This window comes from Homo sapiens, chromosome X, assembly GCF_000001405.40.
Source record: "Homo sapiens chromosome X, GRCh38.p14 Primary Assembly".
In the NCBI taxonomy this organism is placed as follows: Eukaryota; Metazoa; Chordata; class Mammalia; order Primates; family Hominidae; genus Homo; species Homo sapiens.
Window position 1 is genome coordinate 86,679,000 of NC_000023.11, and position 18,265 is coordinate 86,697,264.

The window sequence follows — 18,265 nt, forward strand, 5'->3', positions numbered from 1 at the left end:
CTTCTTTGGCTACACCTAGGCAACTGTATCTTCCACCATCCTCCCTGTCCTACACAGTCCTACCCAAGTTATATCCCACAAATGTTCTTTCCCACCTCCATTTCTACAATAATTTAAATTTTTTATACTTACTTTATAAAATATGTCTGAACTGTCTAGACTGCATGAGGTAAGACTGTATGAATTGAGTCATTAATCAACTTTGGAAGGTAATAATTGCTTGCTTTTAAGGCCTTTTGATTTGAAATCCAGTTTCTTAGGCTACTCTGTATATTGTGCATTGTTAGGACGGCAGAGCTTAGGAAGTTTGTGTGAATGCGTAGGTATGAATTACCCCCACACACATCTATGAAGAACTATTTCTTTTTACTTTGAGCTCGGATGTGTGCTGTTTTCTGTTCTACAAAGTTCTAAAACATACATATTGCTATTGTTGACAATGCACAAATATTTTCAACACATGAAAACTTTAAAATGCCAATAGTTTTGCAATGTTATTAACTTTGAAGTTACTATTATTTTATAAAACTCCAAAAAGTTAAACTGTAGCATACAGACTTCGCTTTCAGTGCCAGGCATAGGTTTTATATGTCTCTCTCTCTCTCTCTCTCTGTCTCTGTGTGTGTGTGTGTGTGTGTGTGTGTGTGTGTGTGTGTGTGTATTCCCAAATATATTTACCATGCCAGGTTGTCAGCCTTGGAAACAAGTCTGTAAATTGGCCAAAAGCATCACACATTATTTTGCTGTAAGTGTCTGCTACTTTTGCTGCATTGCCAACCCTAATAAGCCGAGCCTGTGTGGTGTGCTGGTGCATATTTAACCTTTCCTCCTTACAGGAATGGGTCTGAGCTTAACGGTCATTATGTATTAAAATTTGGTAGGCTGTAGCCAATAGAGAATCTCATACTAAATTATACTGTGCAACTGAATTCGGGCTTGTATGTGAAAGAATACCTAGTCTATTAGTGATTCACAAGATTTTTATATTTAGGCAAAATAGACTCATTTGTTTATATTCTACTCCCTCTCTTGTTAGCATACTATACATAGTATGAAGAGACCAACTCAAATAATTTAATGATGGCAAAATATTCCGTTTTTTAAAAAGATCCAGACATCTCAAATTGTACTGTTGTTAAGATCAATCTTTCTCCTCTCTCTTCCAAATCTAATTGAATTTTGAAATTGAATATTGAAACATAACTGCATGCTTTAAAACTTTTCCAACTATTGTAACTGCTCTGGAGAAACTAAAAGTTCTTAAAGATATAATTATCATCCAGCCATTAGCACAAAATATATAATCATATTTTGTAAACATCCATCTATTGTGTGCAGGTAGTGAAAACTGCAGCTAAACTATTAATGTATTAAATTGCATAAGTTAATCCAATGTTTGATACTTTTCTTTGAAAAATATGTCCAAAGGAACAATCTGGAATGAAAACAAATTACCAGACACTATTTTTTACTGCCCTGTTGCCTAACGTGTGTTGAATGACCATTTGGAAAGCAAGTCAGTGCTTCTGCTTAATCACTTGAAAATTTTGTGCATATTTTAACTATACTCATCATTGTTTTATTTAAAAGAAACTAATGGCCTTTTCAAACAGGAAATGTATTTTAATTATTGAATTCATAATGACTCATTTCTTTTTTTTTTTTTTTTTTTGAGACAGGGTCTCACTCTGTCATCCAGGCTGGAGTGCAGTGGTGAGATCATAGCTCACTGCAGCCTTGACCTCCTGGACTCAAGCTATCCTCCTGCCTCAGTACCTGAGACTACAGATGCATACCACATGGCTGGCTATTTTTTTAATTGATTTTTATTTTTTGTAAACATGGGGCTATGCTATGTTGCCCAGCCTGGTCTTGACCCCTTGGCCTTAAGCAATCCTCCTGCCTCAGCCTCCCACATTGCTACTGGTGTCAGTCCTTGCATCCAGCTGCCCTCGAACATTTCTAACATCAGTAGACAGGGATTGGATACTATGCCTTCCATATGCATCTATGTATCTATATATGTATCTATGTATCTATCTATCTGTGTGTCTGTCTATCTATCTATCTATCTATATGTCTGACTCCTTTCTATCTTGCTTGATATAATTTTCTTGAATTTGTTTCTTTATGATATGGTAAGCATTTCATATTAACAAAACTGCAACTTGAAAAGGATGTGTTCTCTTGTTTTGGTCAAGAAAAGCAGACAATCTTATTCCTAATGCTTGTCTAGCACACTACTTGAAAAATAATTTTAGCTGCTCAAAGAGAAGTTCAGGAATTGAGTATAATAAAAACAGTGTTTAAAAAGTTTTCTCGGCCAGCTGCAGTGGCTCATGCCTGCACTTTATGAGGATCATTTGAGCCCAGGAGTTCAGGATCAGCCCGGGAAACAGTGAGACCCCATCTCTACAGAAAATAGAAAAAATTAGCTAGACATGGTGTTGCGCACCTGTATTGCTAGCTATTCGGGAGGCTGAGCTGAAAGGATCACTTGAGCCCAGGAGTTCAAAGCTCTAGTGAGCCATGATTGCACCACTGCACTCCAGCCTGGGTGACAGAGTGAGACCCTCTCTCTCTCTCTCTTTCTCCCTCTCTCTCTCTCTCTATATATATATATAATTATATATGATATACATGATATCATATATATATGTTATATATAATTATATATATATAGTCTACTTGTGGCATTTTTATTGTATTCTGAATTAGATATATTTTCATTACTTTAAGCCCATGGCTTTTAGTATTTTTTTCTGATCATTAAAGAAGTGTTATTAATCACATTGGATGTAGTAATAATGCCTTTTCCACTTAAATCATTGTTTTCAATTGTGGAATTAAGCCTTGTATGTTCTATCCTTCTTTTAGTGATTGGCTTCCAAGAAATACCATTATTTTCCCACTCTTTTCTCTTCAGGCATCAACTTGGCCCTTTTCCTTCAGATGCTTTGCAGCCTTACCCTCATTTTCAAAAGACAGAGAAAACACTACCCATAATTGACTCATATCATTTATATTTTAAAAAGACTTCACTTTAAAGGAGGGACGTGAATAAGAAAGTAGCTTTCCTATGCCACTTGGAATTGAGGGATTTTCTCTGAAGGCCTTCAATACTTCATGATTCCCAGGTCTGCCCACTACAGATCTCAGCCTAGTCTAGTAAGCCTATCCTTGAAACTACCGCTTTCTTAGCTCTCTTCACCAAAGTGCCTCATTTTGTTCCTCAGATTCTAAACTGTGCACATTCACAGTCAAAGCCTCAGTTAAAAGCACTTATATGCCTCGTATCAGTAACAATTGAGGATAGTGATTTAGTGTGTGTGTTCTGGAGTCTTTCCTGGTTTGATTCTTTACTGGTGGTACAAGCGTGGGAAAATCAGTCTTTTGAGTTTCAGTTTTCTCTATAAAATGTGGCTGATTATAGCACCTATCACATGGTGTTCTGAGGATTAGGTGAATACTTTCTACCACACGTCAAGTGCCCAGTGTGCTTTCAGCGTTTTTCAGGCTCACAGTGTGTGTTCAGTGAATGTGATTTTCACAGGTATTAGACATATATGTGGTAAGTGTTTTGTAAGCAGCAGCCGGTAACTGATAATTATAGTTTTAATTACTCAGTGTAGTGATAAAATCCATTTATGAATCTCTTTGATATCATCAGCAGTAATTCATAAGCCCCAGTGTAATACAAGTGAAAGATCCATTCCATACACTCATAGGCACTAAGATCCCAGAGCCAGTGAATGTTCCATGTCAAATCTATACTTGCTATGTATTGATTCTATCTATTGATTTATTTTACTTCTACTCCATTTTCTTCTACTTTTATTTTTCATTAAAAAACTGTATTTCCTTATCCTTTTTTTCCATATAGAATAATTTTTGGTGATAAAATTAGAATTATTCAGTCTAATGCCTCAGCTTAACAAACATGTTTCTTTCTCTTTGTATTTTTATTTCAGGCTCTGCCATGTATTTCAATTTGTCATATTTTCCCCAGTTTTATAGATTTCTGTGAATTTGAGTCTGCGAGTTTTATCTTTATTTGGGTAAAATGATTATTTTTTTCTTGCCTAAATTCTTTCTTTTTTGTGTCTTTCATGTTCGTGTTGTATGCTTGCCTCTTTCCTCTTATCTTTTGTTTTATCTTGTATTCAGTTTACAGCAATATGAAAATTATTGGCAAAAGTTATTCTCCATTATTTCTACCAACTTTCTCCTCTTTCTTCATATTAAATATTTTGTTCTTTCTTATCATTCTTCTTTTAAGAAGTCCTAGGATTAATAATCAATGTTTACCAGCCAAACCCAGTCTTTTCTGTACAGAGAGAAAAAACAAAGAGCCATCTGCTTCTGCTTTCTCAAGAGGAGAACAGGCTATATATAGTTGTTTAGTCTCACTGCTGAACCACTTGATACATTATTAGAAGTAGCCTAGTAAAGCCGTATCTGGAGTCCTCATTTTCAGTGTTTTACTGTATCCTATTATACAATCTGCTTTAAGAGCAACAAGTTTTTTGCACATGGCCATGAAAATTAATGTGGTTAACTGCAAAAATAATAGAGCTTTACCTTTGCAAATTATTCCTTTAATTCTTGGGGTCACTAGTGGTCTTCATCATCTTTTGTTAGTAGTATAGTTAAAAAGGTAGTCACCCTATAGACAAGTTAATAAAGTTAATACCCTATTTTGTCCTTTATATTCTAAAAAAACTTAAATGATAACAGCTTACACTTATTTAGTGCTTGATATGTCTAGATATTGTATTGCTTTACATATTCTGTCCCATTTAATCCTTAAAACAACCCTAGAGTAGGTAGATTATATTTCCATATCAGATATTAAGAAACTCAGACTCAAAGAACCCTAATGTCATTTCCAAAGCCCATAGATATTAAATAGAGTGGCCAGAATTCAACATCAGGTCTGTCTGATGCTCCTTCCACTATGCTATTAGGATTTTTTGAAGGATACAATTCTTCCCTCTCTATTTTGCGTCGGTCTCTATCTGCCACTTTCATAGAACTTTGCCAGTTGACCACTACCAGTCAAGTAAGATCACTTTAACCTCGCCACTCCAAAGCATACAGACAAGCTGAAATCTCAACAAGAAAACTTTCTGTGTGAGTAATAATTAACTCTCACCATTGGCCACAAAAGATCATAATGCTTTCATATCGATTTATTGGTCAACATGAATTCTGTTGTCTAGAGACTGCATTATGGTTTCCCTAAATAATTTTTTGATAGCTGTAAGAATTGCACTGACAGGAAGATATTTATACCTACAGAAATGATATTACTTTGTGTGCAGGGATAAAAAGAAGAGATGAATTATTCTGCCTCCTTCTATGTGGCCAGTCTTGCCCTCTGCTTTTTGGTTTAATTCATTAGCTTCTAAAGCATGGCGTATTTGGTTAAATTAACAGTGTAATAGAAAAAGTACTTTAATTATGCTTTGGGTAAGTATATATACTTAAATTATGTTATGGGTAGGAAAATAAATTATGTAGGTATATATACTTAAATTATGTTATGGGTAGGTATATATACTTAAATTATGTTACAAGTAGATAAATCTATTTAAATTATATTATGAGTAGGTAAATATACATCCATAATATTACACTTTTACAACACTAATTTTTCATCTTCTTAGTTGATCTATGAAAAATGAGTGTTGTAAATATATAATATTACAATGTATATTTTTAAAAATTTTCTGATTGATTATGAAAAAAACTGTAAATTTGTGCCATTTAAATTTTTTGTAATTCAAGGCAGTCATTGAAACTCTATGTTCATACACTCTATCAGGTAAATAATAAGTATGCTCTTTTAGTATACATAAAGTAAATTTCGAGCTGTATACATGTACTAACATATGCACACAAAATAGAAATTAAATAGAAATAATTAAGAAGATTAAACAAGATTTTAACTAATAAATTTTATTAATTACATAAAACTTTTAAAACATATATTCTTAGTATCAGTGAGGACAATGTGATTAATACATCAAAACTGATGACCTTTACAATATTTTACTTCTTAATGAAGGTGACAGAGTTCCTACATTGAGTAGAAGTATCAGCTCTGCTATTTTATATCTCTTCTCCTGTGCTTGCATTATTGTCTTCAATCTGAGGTTGTATTGTGTTGTTCACTTTGTAAAGGCTAGTTTATTGAATCCACTCAGTTGAGTGTACATAGAACATATCACAATGAGGTCAGAATAAATAAAAGTCTAGGGCTGCCAATGGCCAACCACTGCCCTGCTGAAAACTCCTACTCTTTTTTTCCTCTGGATTCCTCTAATGATTGAGTGGTGAAGGCATCAGTGATGGTTCATATCTTAAATATTAGTGACACATAATGTTGTACTTACTTTTTGGTTACATATAAAATAAATATTAAAACTCAAATATCTTGCTCTATCTTTGTAGGTCAGCTTTTACATTTTCTAGGGTATGCATAACCTCATTTTAAGTAACTCCAATTTAAGATATATCTTACAAGAGCACATGTCACAGCTTATAAATTCTAGGAACTAGCTCTTTAAAATAAATAATTTGCCTGTATTCTCAGTAATTGTTCAATAGTTCAGAAATATGACAAAAGAGGAAAACGATAAATGGTGGTTCTGCTTGGCTTCTGGTGAAGCCTCAGGGAGCTTTTATTCATGGTGGAAGGCAAAGGGGGAATAGGCACATCACATGGCAAAAGCAGTAGCAATGAAGAGAGGGTGAGGGCGAGGTTCCACACACTTTAAAATAATTAAATCTTGCAAGAATTCACTCACTGTCAGGAAGACAGCACGAAGCCATAAGGGTTCCGTCCCCATGATCCTAACACCTTCCACCAGGCCCCACCTCCAGCATTCGAAATTAAAATTCAACATGAGATTTGGGTGGGGACAAATATCCAAGCTATATTGGTGGTATTACATGATTATTTACTGCGAAGTGACTTGATAATATGTTTGTCATTTAGACAGACCACATGTTATTAAGAATGAAAGAAGGAACTCAAATTCAGATAAGAAAATGCTATCACTGTCTTGAACTCAGATTTTTCGAGTCTTTCAACTTGCAATACTTACACTAGCAAGAAATGAATTCAAATTTCCAAAAAGTGTCTTGTCACACATAAACAAATTTTTCTGTACTTGCCACAGCAGAGAGCTTAGATAGAATTGAAGGGTATTTTTATTTTATTTATTTATTTATTTATTTATTTTTTGAGACGGAGTCTCACTCTGTCGCCAGGCTGGAGTTCAGTGGTATGATATCAGCTCACTGCAACCTCTGCCTCCTGGGTTCAAGCAATTCTCCTGCCTCAGCCTCCCGAGTAGCTGGGGCTACAGGTGCGCACCAACATGCCCAACTCATTTTTATATTGTTAGTAGAGATAGGGTTTCACCATGTTGGCCAAGATGGTCTTGATCTCCTGACCTCGTGACCCACCCGCCTCGGCCTCCCAAAGCGCTGGGATCACAGGTATGAGCCACCATGCCCAGTAATTGAAGGGTATTTTTTTAAAAAAACTTCTGCTCCAGGCAACATAACATAATACCAAGATAAATATGACAATTTAAAAATTTGGGGGTTTCATAGGAGAGTGAATAAGATTATCATTTGAAATTGCAAAATAATATCTGGCAAAACCCCATTTTCTTCATGTCTACAATAAAATATCTTTTAACCAGAGTGTATTTTAAGTTATGCAAACTAATAGTTTGCAAGAGTTTCTCCAACTATATCATCACACTCAGCAGGTCATATGGAAGAGCACTGTGCCTTCATCACTTGTGATACAATTCCTTCTACAACTAAACTAATCTTTGAAACTCAATAATGTGATGTTTAAGTTTTAGCCACTGTGCTTTAAAGTGGCACTCAGGGAATACTTACATCTTGCAACATTTTAATTTAGAAACAAAGATTTTGGGACTTTCCTTGAATTTTACATTTACTTCGTGAAACATATTAGCCCTATTTTTAGAAATATGTATGAGTTAGGTGCAATTTATTTGAGTAAGCCTGTGGTGAGTACTTATATTTTTTAATTATTAAGTCTACTTTGAAGCATCAGTTCCTTTTAAATCCAGAAATAAATTTGTTCACTATTAATTTTGAAACATTTGAATTTGACTCCTGATCTTTTTGGATCATGGTGATGATACAAGTATAGAGTCATTTGTTTGATTTTTTTCATTTGTTTGTTTGGTTGGTGGGTTTGCCTGTAAAGATAACGCAGCCAGCCAACAGACATGAAAAAAAAGCTCATCACCACTGGTCACTAGAGAAATGCAAATCAAAACCACAATGAGATACCATCTCACACCAGTTAGAATGGTGATCATTAAAAAGTAAGGAAACAACAGATGCTGGAGAGGTTCTGGAAAAATAGAAATGTTTTTATACTGTTGGTGGGAATGTAAATTAGTTTGACCATTGTGGAAGACAGTGTGGCGATTCCTCAAGGATCTAGAACCAGAAATACCATTTGACCCAGAAATCCCATTAGTGGGCATATACCCAAAGGATTATAAAACATTCTATGATAAAGACACATGCAAACGTATGTTTATCGTGGCACTATTCACAATAGCAAAGACTTGGAACCAGTCCAAATGTCCATCAATGATAGACTGGATTAAGAAAATGTGGCACATATACACCATGGAATACTATGCAGCCATAAAAAGGGATGAGTTCATGTCCTTTGCAGGGACATGGATGAAGTTGGAAACTATCATTCTCAGCAAACTATCACAAGATCAGAAAACCAAACACCGCATGTTCTCACTCATAAGTAGGAGTTGAACAATGAGAACACATGGACACAGGGAGGGGAACATCACACACTGGGGCCTGTCAGAGGGTGGGGGGCTAGGGGAGGGATAACATTAGGAGAAATACCTAATGTAGGTGACGGGTTGATAGGTGCAGCAAACCACCAGGGCAAGTGTATACCTATGTAACAAAGCTGCACGTTCTGCACATGTAACCTAGAACTTAAAGTATAATAAAAAAAAAGAAAGAAAGAAGATAATGCTTATGTATTCATACAACATTTGTAGTGCAAGTTGGTCCATCCATCACACTCTCTCAGAGTCTTAGCACATTTCTTAGAACCCTTTGAAGGTTTGTATATAAACATTCTGGTCATGCAACCAAGGTATTCTTTTCTTTCTTCCTGGGTACTGCTCTGCTCAGTTTTATTCTCTTCTTTTTAAATTGTCCTTTCTGATACTCCATCTTCTTTATTTTTGTTTTTCATGTTTATTTCAGTCGTTATGTCAAGGGCCAATTGGAGGAGATGAGGCTAGTAGTAGGAAAGTCAGTTAAGAGTCTCTTGAGATGATTGTAATGTGAGAGAGTAATGAGGGTTCAAACAAAGGCAGTGTCAGTGGGAATGGAAGGGAACCCAGTGTAAAGTCAATTCCAGATAATTTGGCCACTTAAGCACAGAGTGAATGGTTAAAGAGATGATAATGATACTTTTATTAGACTGAGAGATCTTTGAGGGCAAGGGATTTGCCTTTTATTTCTATATTCTCAGTACCTGCAAATAGCACCTGACACATGTTAAGTACTCAAAAATTTCCCATTGAAACAATTGCATTATGCCACTAACAGATACAGGAAATAAAGGAGCAAGATCTCTTTCATTGAATAATGGTCAATTTAGTTTCAGACATGTTGAATTGAAGATGCTGTAGATACCTGTGTTTTAAATTGTTTTACACAAACTGCTTATCCTCTAGGATAGCACTTTCTAGTATAACTTTCTGCAAGGAAGTAAATTATCAATATCTGTACTTCCCAATATGATAGTCCCTAGCTGCATGTGGACTTTGAGCACTTGTAATGTGATTATTGCAACTGAGCAGCTGAATTTTTTCATTCTTTTTACTTTACTTTAATTAATTAAAACTTATATTTAAATAGCCACAGGTGACTAGTGGCTATTATATTGGCAAGTGCAGCCCTAGAGGCTCATCAATTAGCTGCTATTATACCTCTGATTAAACTTGAAATTCCTAGACCATCACCCTGTGGTGTGGCTCTTCCTAGGTAATGTTTTAAAGTAAAAGAGGAGATAAACTAGTTGAGACCTTCTCAATATTTTAAAATGAATAATTATTATCTATTTTCTATCCATATTGGTTCAAATTTCAGATACAGTGCATGATTGCACTACTGATGTCACCGGTCTGATAAACTGCTGAATATTCTATTTTCTGAATGCATACAGGAAAAGCAAATAAAAGAATAATATGATAAGGTTGTAGAGTATAGCACCTTTACACATACATGCCTCGTTTTCCATTCATGTGTTAGCACTTTACAATACACTAAACCCTGAATTTGTGTCTATATGTGTGTGTGTACACCTCCCCGCTACACACACTTATACTATATTATTATTTACAAAAAATGAAGTCTTTAAAGTTTAATTATGATTTAAAATATTTTTCTACTACAAAATGCTTCATGCTGTGTAGATTCATCAAACAATGTGCATTTATCTAAGATTCTAGCTAAACAAATATTCTATGGCTGAGAGAACAAGCTCGATTTAGGCTGTATGCTACATAGACCTCTTCCCATTTGGCTTCTTTTTCTTTGCCTTATGCACATAAGATTACTGGAAACATGATCAATTTAGACCCATATTTTCAAATAATCTGACTTATATGTTTTGTTGTAGCTAGAAAAGTTTCAATGTAAGTACAGCTTTTTATAAACACTTCTATTTTTCACAGTTAAGGCCATAGTTTTGAATTTAATAATTACCTTATATATTTTTCCTAGTAGGTGGCTTTTAAATTTGTACATTGCAAAATGTAGTAGCAACTGCTACTATAGTATTCCTCTAAAATAATAAAAGTTACACTCCACTTGAATTCATAAGACAGAGATCATTTTTATATTATGAAACTCTTGCATATGACTCACACAATTCTAGTAGTCTTAGAAACTCAAACCTACAGAAATTAAAGCTTATGCATTTATAAAGAGGATCACTGATCCCTATAGGTGGATGAGGAAGACTGTTTACTAAATTGTCTTGATTCTCTTCAGTGAATATTTTATTAGCTTCCTTCACTCATTCTTAACAACACGGTGCTAAGGTGAAGAATGATTGCTTGGAATTTTTATTTAGAACCTTACTGCTGGATTTCCTTTATACCCATTTGAAACATTTTGGTGTTTGGGTGTTTTAGCTTGTAGGCTTATGCTAATTTGTTTGGAACACATCATAATGATCTTTGCTATTGCTTTTCACAAACCTGACCATAATAAGCATTGTGTTATTAGAATGGGAAATGCGGAAGTGCTAATTAGACAAAATTTTAGCAAATTAAAACATTAAAATACTGCTTTGGGTCCCACCCATAATATGCTCCTGCTCCTTTTTCAAGTTATTATTTTTAACTAAGTGGATAAAAAGGTCCTTTTTTTGTCTTAAATTCCATGTTTCTGTTGTAAGGTCCCCATGATTCATAGGTCTCTGTCCTCTACCCACTTATCCTACAAAGAAAATGCAACAAAAACAAATAACCTTCTGGGAACCCTAACATTTTAAAATGAGTTTTTTAAAAAGGTCTAAATTGCAAACTAAAGAGTTTCTGACTAAAGCAACAGAAGTTTGTCTGATGCCTTGTTAAATTAATATTTCCCCATAGTGAATCACTTTATTGTTCTTACACTGATTCTAACTAAGAATATATATTTCTACGAAGTAAGGGCTTATAAAAAATGTAGTTCTCTCTAGCTTTCTTATTGGTAAAGTTGGGATTAAATTAGTTAGTGTTAATGTAGCAATAGTTGCTTGTAGTACTGTTTATTGTGTTACACTCTTTATTGTCATCAATTTAGTTTTACTAAATATTGTGCTAAAACAGTGATAAGTAGTTGATATGGAAAAGCTCAAATAAATTATTCAGTTAATGAGGATTTGCTCCATTTTCTACATTATCTTTACATACTTAGGACTGTGTTGGGTTACGTTTATACTTAATACAAAATTTCTTGAAGACTTAAAGAGGTTACTTTATTTTCCCAAGCCAACTGCCTACCCTGCTAGCCTCTTAGTCATGCCTTGTTAAAAATGCTGTTCAGTTTCTCTCCTCTTTACTGGAGGAATTCCCTCACAAAGCTAGTATGGTCTGGTTCTGACAAATGTGCATACTTTAGTGTTATGGGCTGAATCATGTACCCCTAAAATTCAGATATTGAAGCCCTAACCCCTAGTTACTTTGAACTGTGACTGTATTTGTAGCTAAGGCTTTTAAGGAGGTTATTAAGTGCATTTTAAAATAAAGAATCTAACTCTATTGCTTGTAACTCAAAGGATAAATGATTGAGGGGATGAATACCTCATTCTCCATGATGTACTTATTTCACATTGCATGCCTGTATCAAAACATATCAGGTACTCCATAAATATATACACCTACTCTGTACCCACAAAAATTAAAAATAATAACAATTTAAATGGATAAATAAATCCGGCCTAGAGTGGACTCTAATCCAGTCTGCTTGGAGTTCTTATAAGAAGAGGAAACTTGTGCATAAAAGAGTTACCAAGCATGAACTCGCACAGAGGAAAGAGCATGTGAGGACATAGGGGAAAACACAGTCATCTGCAAACCATAGAGGAAAGCCTAAGGAGAAACTAAACCTGCCAAAACCATGATCTTGGACTTCTGACCTCCAGAACTGTGAGAAACTAAATTCTTGTTGTTTAAGCCATCCTGTCTGTGGCAGCCTTAGCTAACTACTGCATTTGGAGGTAGACAGACAGACAGATAGATAGGATGAGGAAAGTGGATACCCAAGCCTTCAAAATAGTGGTTAATAAAAGGCTGACTGTAGCTTAGATTAGTCAAAATACTTTGCTAGTTTTAAGGGCAATGGGTATTACTGCATCTTGACAAAGAGGCATAAAAAATGCAAATATTGGGGCCGCTGAACATTCCAGATTGAGTCATAATTAATGTTTACACTTAAAAATGATGAGAGATTTAGGTCAAAAGACAAAAATGTGTTCAGAGCATTCATACCTCCTAATCCAAATATCTAGAATGTTCCACACTCCTCAGCCGCTCGATTCATATACAGTTGCCGTTACATTGCAGGATAATACTTACATCCACATTTGGTGGAGGTGGGAGGAGATGGAAACTACCTTTTCTTTTTTTTATTATTATACTTTAAGTTCTAGGGTACATGTGCACAACGTGCAAGTTTGTTACATATGTATACATGTGCCATGTTGGTGTGCTGCACCCATTAACTCGTCATACATTAGGTGTATCTCCTAATGCTACCCCTCCCCCCTCCACCCGCCCCACCTTTTCTGTCATTAACATAGTAGTTAACAAAGGTGTGAGCTGTTGGAAAAAGTGTATCCAAAGTTCTCACCAAAACATACACAAAACCACATTGAAATCCTTTGATAAGATTTTAAAAACATTTCTATTCAAGCTTATTTGGAAAATGTGATACACAAACCATGAGAATACTACCTAATGTACCATTTCATATTAAATGTAGACTAAACAGTTTTAAATTTATAAAATAAATATTGATATAATCTCAGCTCCAATATTGCTGTGTTGCTGTTGCTGCTGTGATAGTGCAGTACTATGTTATTATCATATTGTATAATTTAATGTCTTCTAAATGTATCTTCTTTTGTCAATATTTTGCTCATTTTATAAATTACAGTTCTGCAATGGTGAGGTAATTCATATCTTGAACATAGTGCTAAAATGATGTAGTGCTTCCATTTTTGCTCAGCAATTGATCTTTCAAATTTTTGCATTTTCTGGTATTAATCATGTTTATTGGCCTAATGTTTCTATAAAGAATTCTCAGTGTTGCAGTGGTTACTTTCATAGTTTATTAAAATACTCCCTTCCCCCACCATCTCTCTTCATTACAGTATAACAATGTCTTATTGATTTTAATTGAAACTTCAAATTTGTTAACACTAAAATATGTCAATGCACCAAACCATAAATTACCTCCCTGCTCTTAAGCACATGCTGTACAACAGCCAACATCTGGATGAAAAGAGAGAACAAGTGGTAATCATAGAAGTATTGCATGTTTTCAATGAACATAGCAGACCTCAACATGATCAAGGGAATGATTTCTGGTCCATTAAACCAGTCTATCAAATTCAACCAAATTTCCTACATACTAAGCTTTCATGCCATCTTATCTGAATGGCTTATAGCAGGACCCCAACAAGTAACTGCTAATTTCTTCCCACGTTTGATTGGAAAATCTGTGTCCATATCAGCAGGGCCAGATACCCTTCAATCTTTACATATACTGTGCTAGAATCCAGTGTTTCCTTATCTCAGCTCATCTAGTTGGAAGCTAGTCAAGACTCTCACTTTTGGATTACAGATTGACTTTGGCCACAAAAGAGCTTGAAAGAATACTGAAGAGGAGGACTGGAGTAAGGTTCTTCCTCTTCAGGACTGGAGTAAAAGTGGATGAGCGGACAGGAAGCTTAAACAATCCTTTCAGAGATTCTTAGCATGTAATTTGCTTGAATAAATGTTAAATCTTGAGGAGGAATGCCAATTGGGCCTGAAGACATTTCCCTGAAAAGTTTACAACTCTCAAAACTGCTTTTGCAAATGTGGTTTTTGAAATAAAAGTATAAAAATGTTTGTCCCCTTTGACTCAAATTCCACTCAGGGAATTAATTGATTCTAAGGAAATAATTTAAATGAATGTTTTTGTTATAATGTAGACTATAATAGTGACAATTGGAAGCAATGTCCAGTGTTTGATAGTCATTACACTTTGTAGATATGAAGCAACATGACAGACTGCTTATAATGTAAAAATGGGTATCCATATGAACAAAGTGTGGGAGGGAACTCAAAGAAGTGAAAATAAACACAATTTTCAATGTTGCGGATATGAGTATGTTGATTTTTCTACATTAAAAAAAACATTAAATATACGTATTTTACAGAGCTCCCAAGAGTCCCAAGCCTAAACCCCACACACAGTGTCAGAGTTTTAGGCAGTAAGTGGGATGGTGTCAGCCAGGTAGAGTGCTAATGTTGCAGTCCCAGCATGGGAATGGAGGCAGAACCACTGACCCCTGAATGAATGAAGCACATCAAGCAAATAGATGAAGCTGCCTGCACAACCATTTTGTTTTCTAAAGCCAGACTATGTGCTCCTGCAGTGATTGGAATCCCACCCTTTACTCCCCTGTTTAAAGTATTCTCTTGAAAGAATGCCCTGGAAATTATTCTGTGTTTGTTTTCCATATGGTTTTAAGCAATGGTTCTATCCCCCATAGTATGCTAGATACCAGATAAAATAGCTATGCCAATGTAGATCATGATAATATAGTATTCTGCATTTATACACACTTTACCTCACTCTCTAGCATGAAGGATCAAGGTAAGTATAATTTCAAACTGGAAGCAATGGTTTCCTATTTTTGTCCAGCTTATTTTACACAAAACTCTAGTGTGTATGAATAGATTTGCTTCTCTGAGTGACCTGAGAAGAAAAGATCATTTTGTTTCTTACCATGTATTTTTGCATGTTATCATGCTCTTACAAATGAGTGTGTTCTTTTTCAGTGATCAGTACAGTCCTTTAAAATATAGTATATGTATGTTAAAGGTTTAGAATACAAGGCAGTGGTGGTCAATTAATGTTCCTCAACATGTAAGTGCTTCTAAAAGCTATTCATTATGATTCCAGATTTGTTGAGACTACCAACAAGTCAAGAGTGCCTATACTATTATTGAGAATGATTTGGCCTTCCCAGAGGCAGCTTACATCTCTAGACTATTGAAAGTTTTTGAAACTGTCATAAAAATGAGTTAACTGTGTTCAATAATAATTTCCTAAGAGGTAGTATTCATGATTACAGCCCTAAAAGGGAATTTTAAAAAGCCTTCTTATGAAAGTTGTCAAGTTGAAATATGTTTATATGAATATTTTTCAGGTGGAAGTGAATCCTCCTGGGATAAAGATAAGATGCAGTCTCCATTTGCTGCACCTGGACCCCAACATGGAATTGCTCATGCAGCCCTAGCTGGCCAGCCAGGCATTGGGGGTGCTCCAACCCTCAATCCACTGCAGCAGAACCACCTGCTAACCAATAGTATGTATACTGTCCTCACAAAACTGGGTGTGTTGAACAAAATACTATCCAAGACCTACTAGAAACCTTTGGCTGGCAGGGCTTAGTCTATTTTTCTTCAATAAAGTTTAACAATTTAATATCAGAAGGGGAGGTAAAGAAGGACTCACTTTCCCTCTTTACCTCCCCTTCTGATATTAAATGGTTAAATCTTAAATACATATAAGGGTACATGGGAGGTACGTGGAAAGTAGAGGTACATAAGTAGAGGTACATGGGAGGTTATGTAGCACAGTAGTTAAGAATATTGGCTAAAGTCACACAAACTTGTGTTTGAATTCCACATGTTTTGAATTCTTTTTTTTTTTTTAAATGGAGTTTTGCTCTTGTTGCCCAGGCTGGAGTGCAATGGCGTGATCGCGGCTCATTGCAACCTCCGCCTCCTGGTTCAAGCAATTCTCCTGCCTCAGCCTCCCAAGTAGCTGGGATTACAGGCATCTGCCACCACGTCCAGCTAAATTTTTTTGTATTTTTAATAAAGACGGGGTTTCACCATGCTGGCCAGGCTGGTCTTGAACTCCTAACCTCAGGTGATCCACTCGCCTAGGCCTCCCAAAGTGCTGGGATTACAGGTGTGAGCCACCACACCCGGCCACATGTTTTGAATTCTACATCATTGTTAGACGTTGGAGAAGTCACCTAACCTTTCCAAGTCTTAATATCCACAACTATAGACTGTGGATAAAAATACATCCACTTAAGGTTACCGTGAGATCTCAGGATAATAAAATAAAATATGTTAACAGTGAATTGCATATAGTAAGTACTATATATATCACAAGTAGTATTATTACTTAGCAATCACACTATAGCTAATGTATACAAATTCAGGTTTACATGATGTTTTAGGGACTTCAAAGACTCACAAGTCTTTCTGCAGCAAAGCAGATCTTGTGTATATTACTTTTGTATATATCTTACTTTTCTTACAAATGGATAATCCAGGATAGGGTTTCATTACTCTCTTCCCTGACACTTTTATTCTCCCATTCTACCTTAGGATGAAGGCAACAGAGGAATTCTAAGACATTTTAATATGATGTTCCAAATCTTAGTGAAATTGGTCAGTTATTAAGCATACAAAAATAAGTTATGGTGTGATACTTTAAAGTGGTTATAATCTCAAGCATAAAATGTCCCATACAAAATGAAATGTTAAGCAAAAGCAAATGAAAGGAATGCCAGAAAAGTTATAAATATTATGTTATGAAAAGTTAAAAAAGGACTGATTAAAGTAGATTCAGGTTATAAAGAGGGTAATTTAGAAGACTTTGGCCTCTAGTCTGACATGTAAAGAGCTTGGAAGTCATTACTCCCATCCTTGCAACTAGAAAAAAGATAAACAAACTGAAAATCTAACTTATTAAAGCCATCAGAGTTTGAGGTCACAGAGCTCCACCATGCTGGAAACTAGAGAGAAAGGCAGCACAGCTCATAAGGAGAAGAAGCCACAGCTAGATCCTGGTAGAAGCATTTAAAAGATAATTGAGTAATTGCAGGAGACTCACTGTAGATCTAGCTCGAGAGACAAAAACTCATGGGGGCCCTGTCTTATGGGGCCCCTACACTTTCATGAGTTTTATTTCTAGGAGCCATACCAGATTCTCAGGGTGAAGATATGATAAAATTCCCCTCATGTTTCTAGTAAGGGGAAAGGAAAAGTAACAACTTTGAAACATGCTCATAGTGCTCTGTTCTCCTGAAGGCCTGTCCTCAAAGAAAACTGTTTTACCAGAGGGTAAACTACTTGGTTTTGCTAGAGCCTAACTGACCTGGGGAAAGGGATATACTAACCTCCAACACCCTCTAACTTTTATGTGAGGGGAAAAGAACAGTACAATTCCAGCAGCCTTAAGCCTCCTGTCTCACCTAAGGACTTATGGGAGCTAAAAATCACTTGTGAAAGTCACAGCCCAAGGATACAGGCTCACTAAGGGACTAAGACCTAATCATAAGATTATAGAATGTTTGTTTGCTCACATTTAACTATCGCCACAGTAGTGCTCCTGTATAACAAAGGGGGATTACAGCTTAAAGAGCTGGAAT

General features: G+C 35.5%; 1 protein-coding gene across 8 annotated transcripts in view; it reads left to right on the forward strand.

Annotated features, from left to right (window-relative positions):
- Positions 1-18,265, forward strand: part of DACH2 (dachshund family transcription factor 2) — a 684,152-nt gene that overhangs the window by 530,549 nt on the left and 135,338 nt on the right. For all 8 annotated transcript variants that reach the window (XM_011530846.3, NM_053281.3, XM_017029254.2 and 5 more), the window contains one exon: positions 16,022-16,180. In XM_011530846.3, the coding sequence (XP_011529148.1) occupies positions 16,022-16,180 (159 nt within the window). The remainder of the gene's footprint in view (positions 1-16,021; positions 16,181-18,265) is intronic.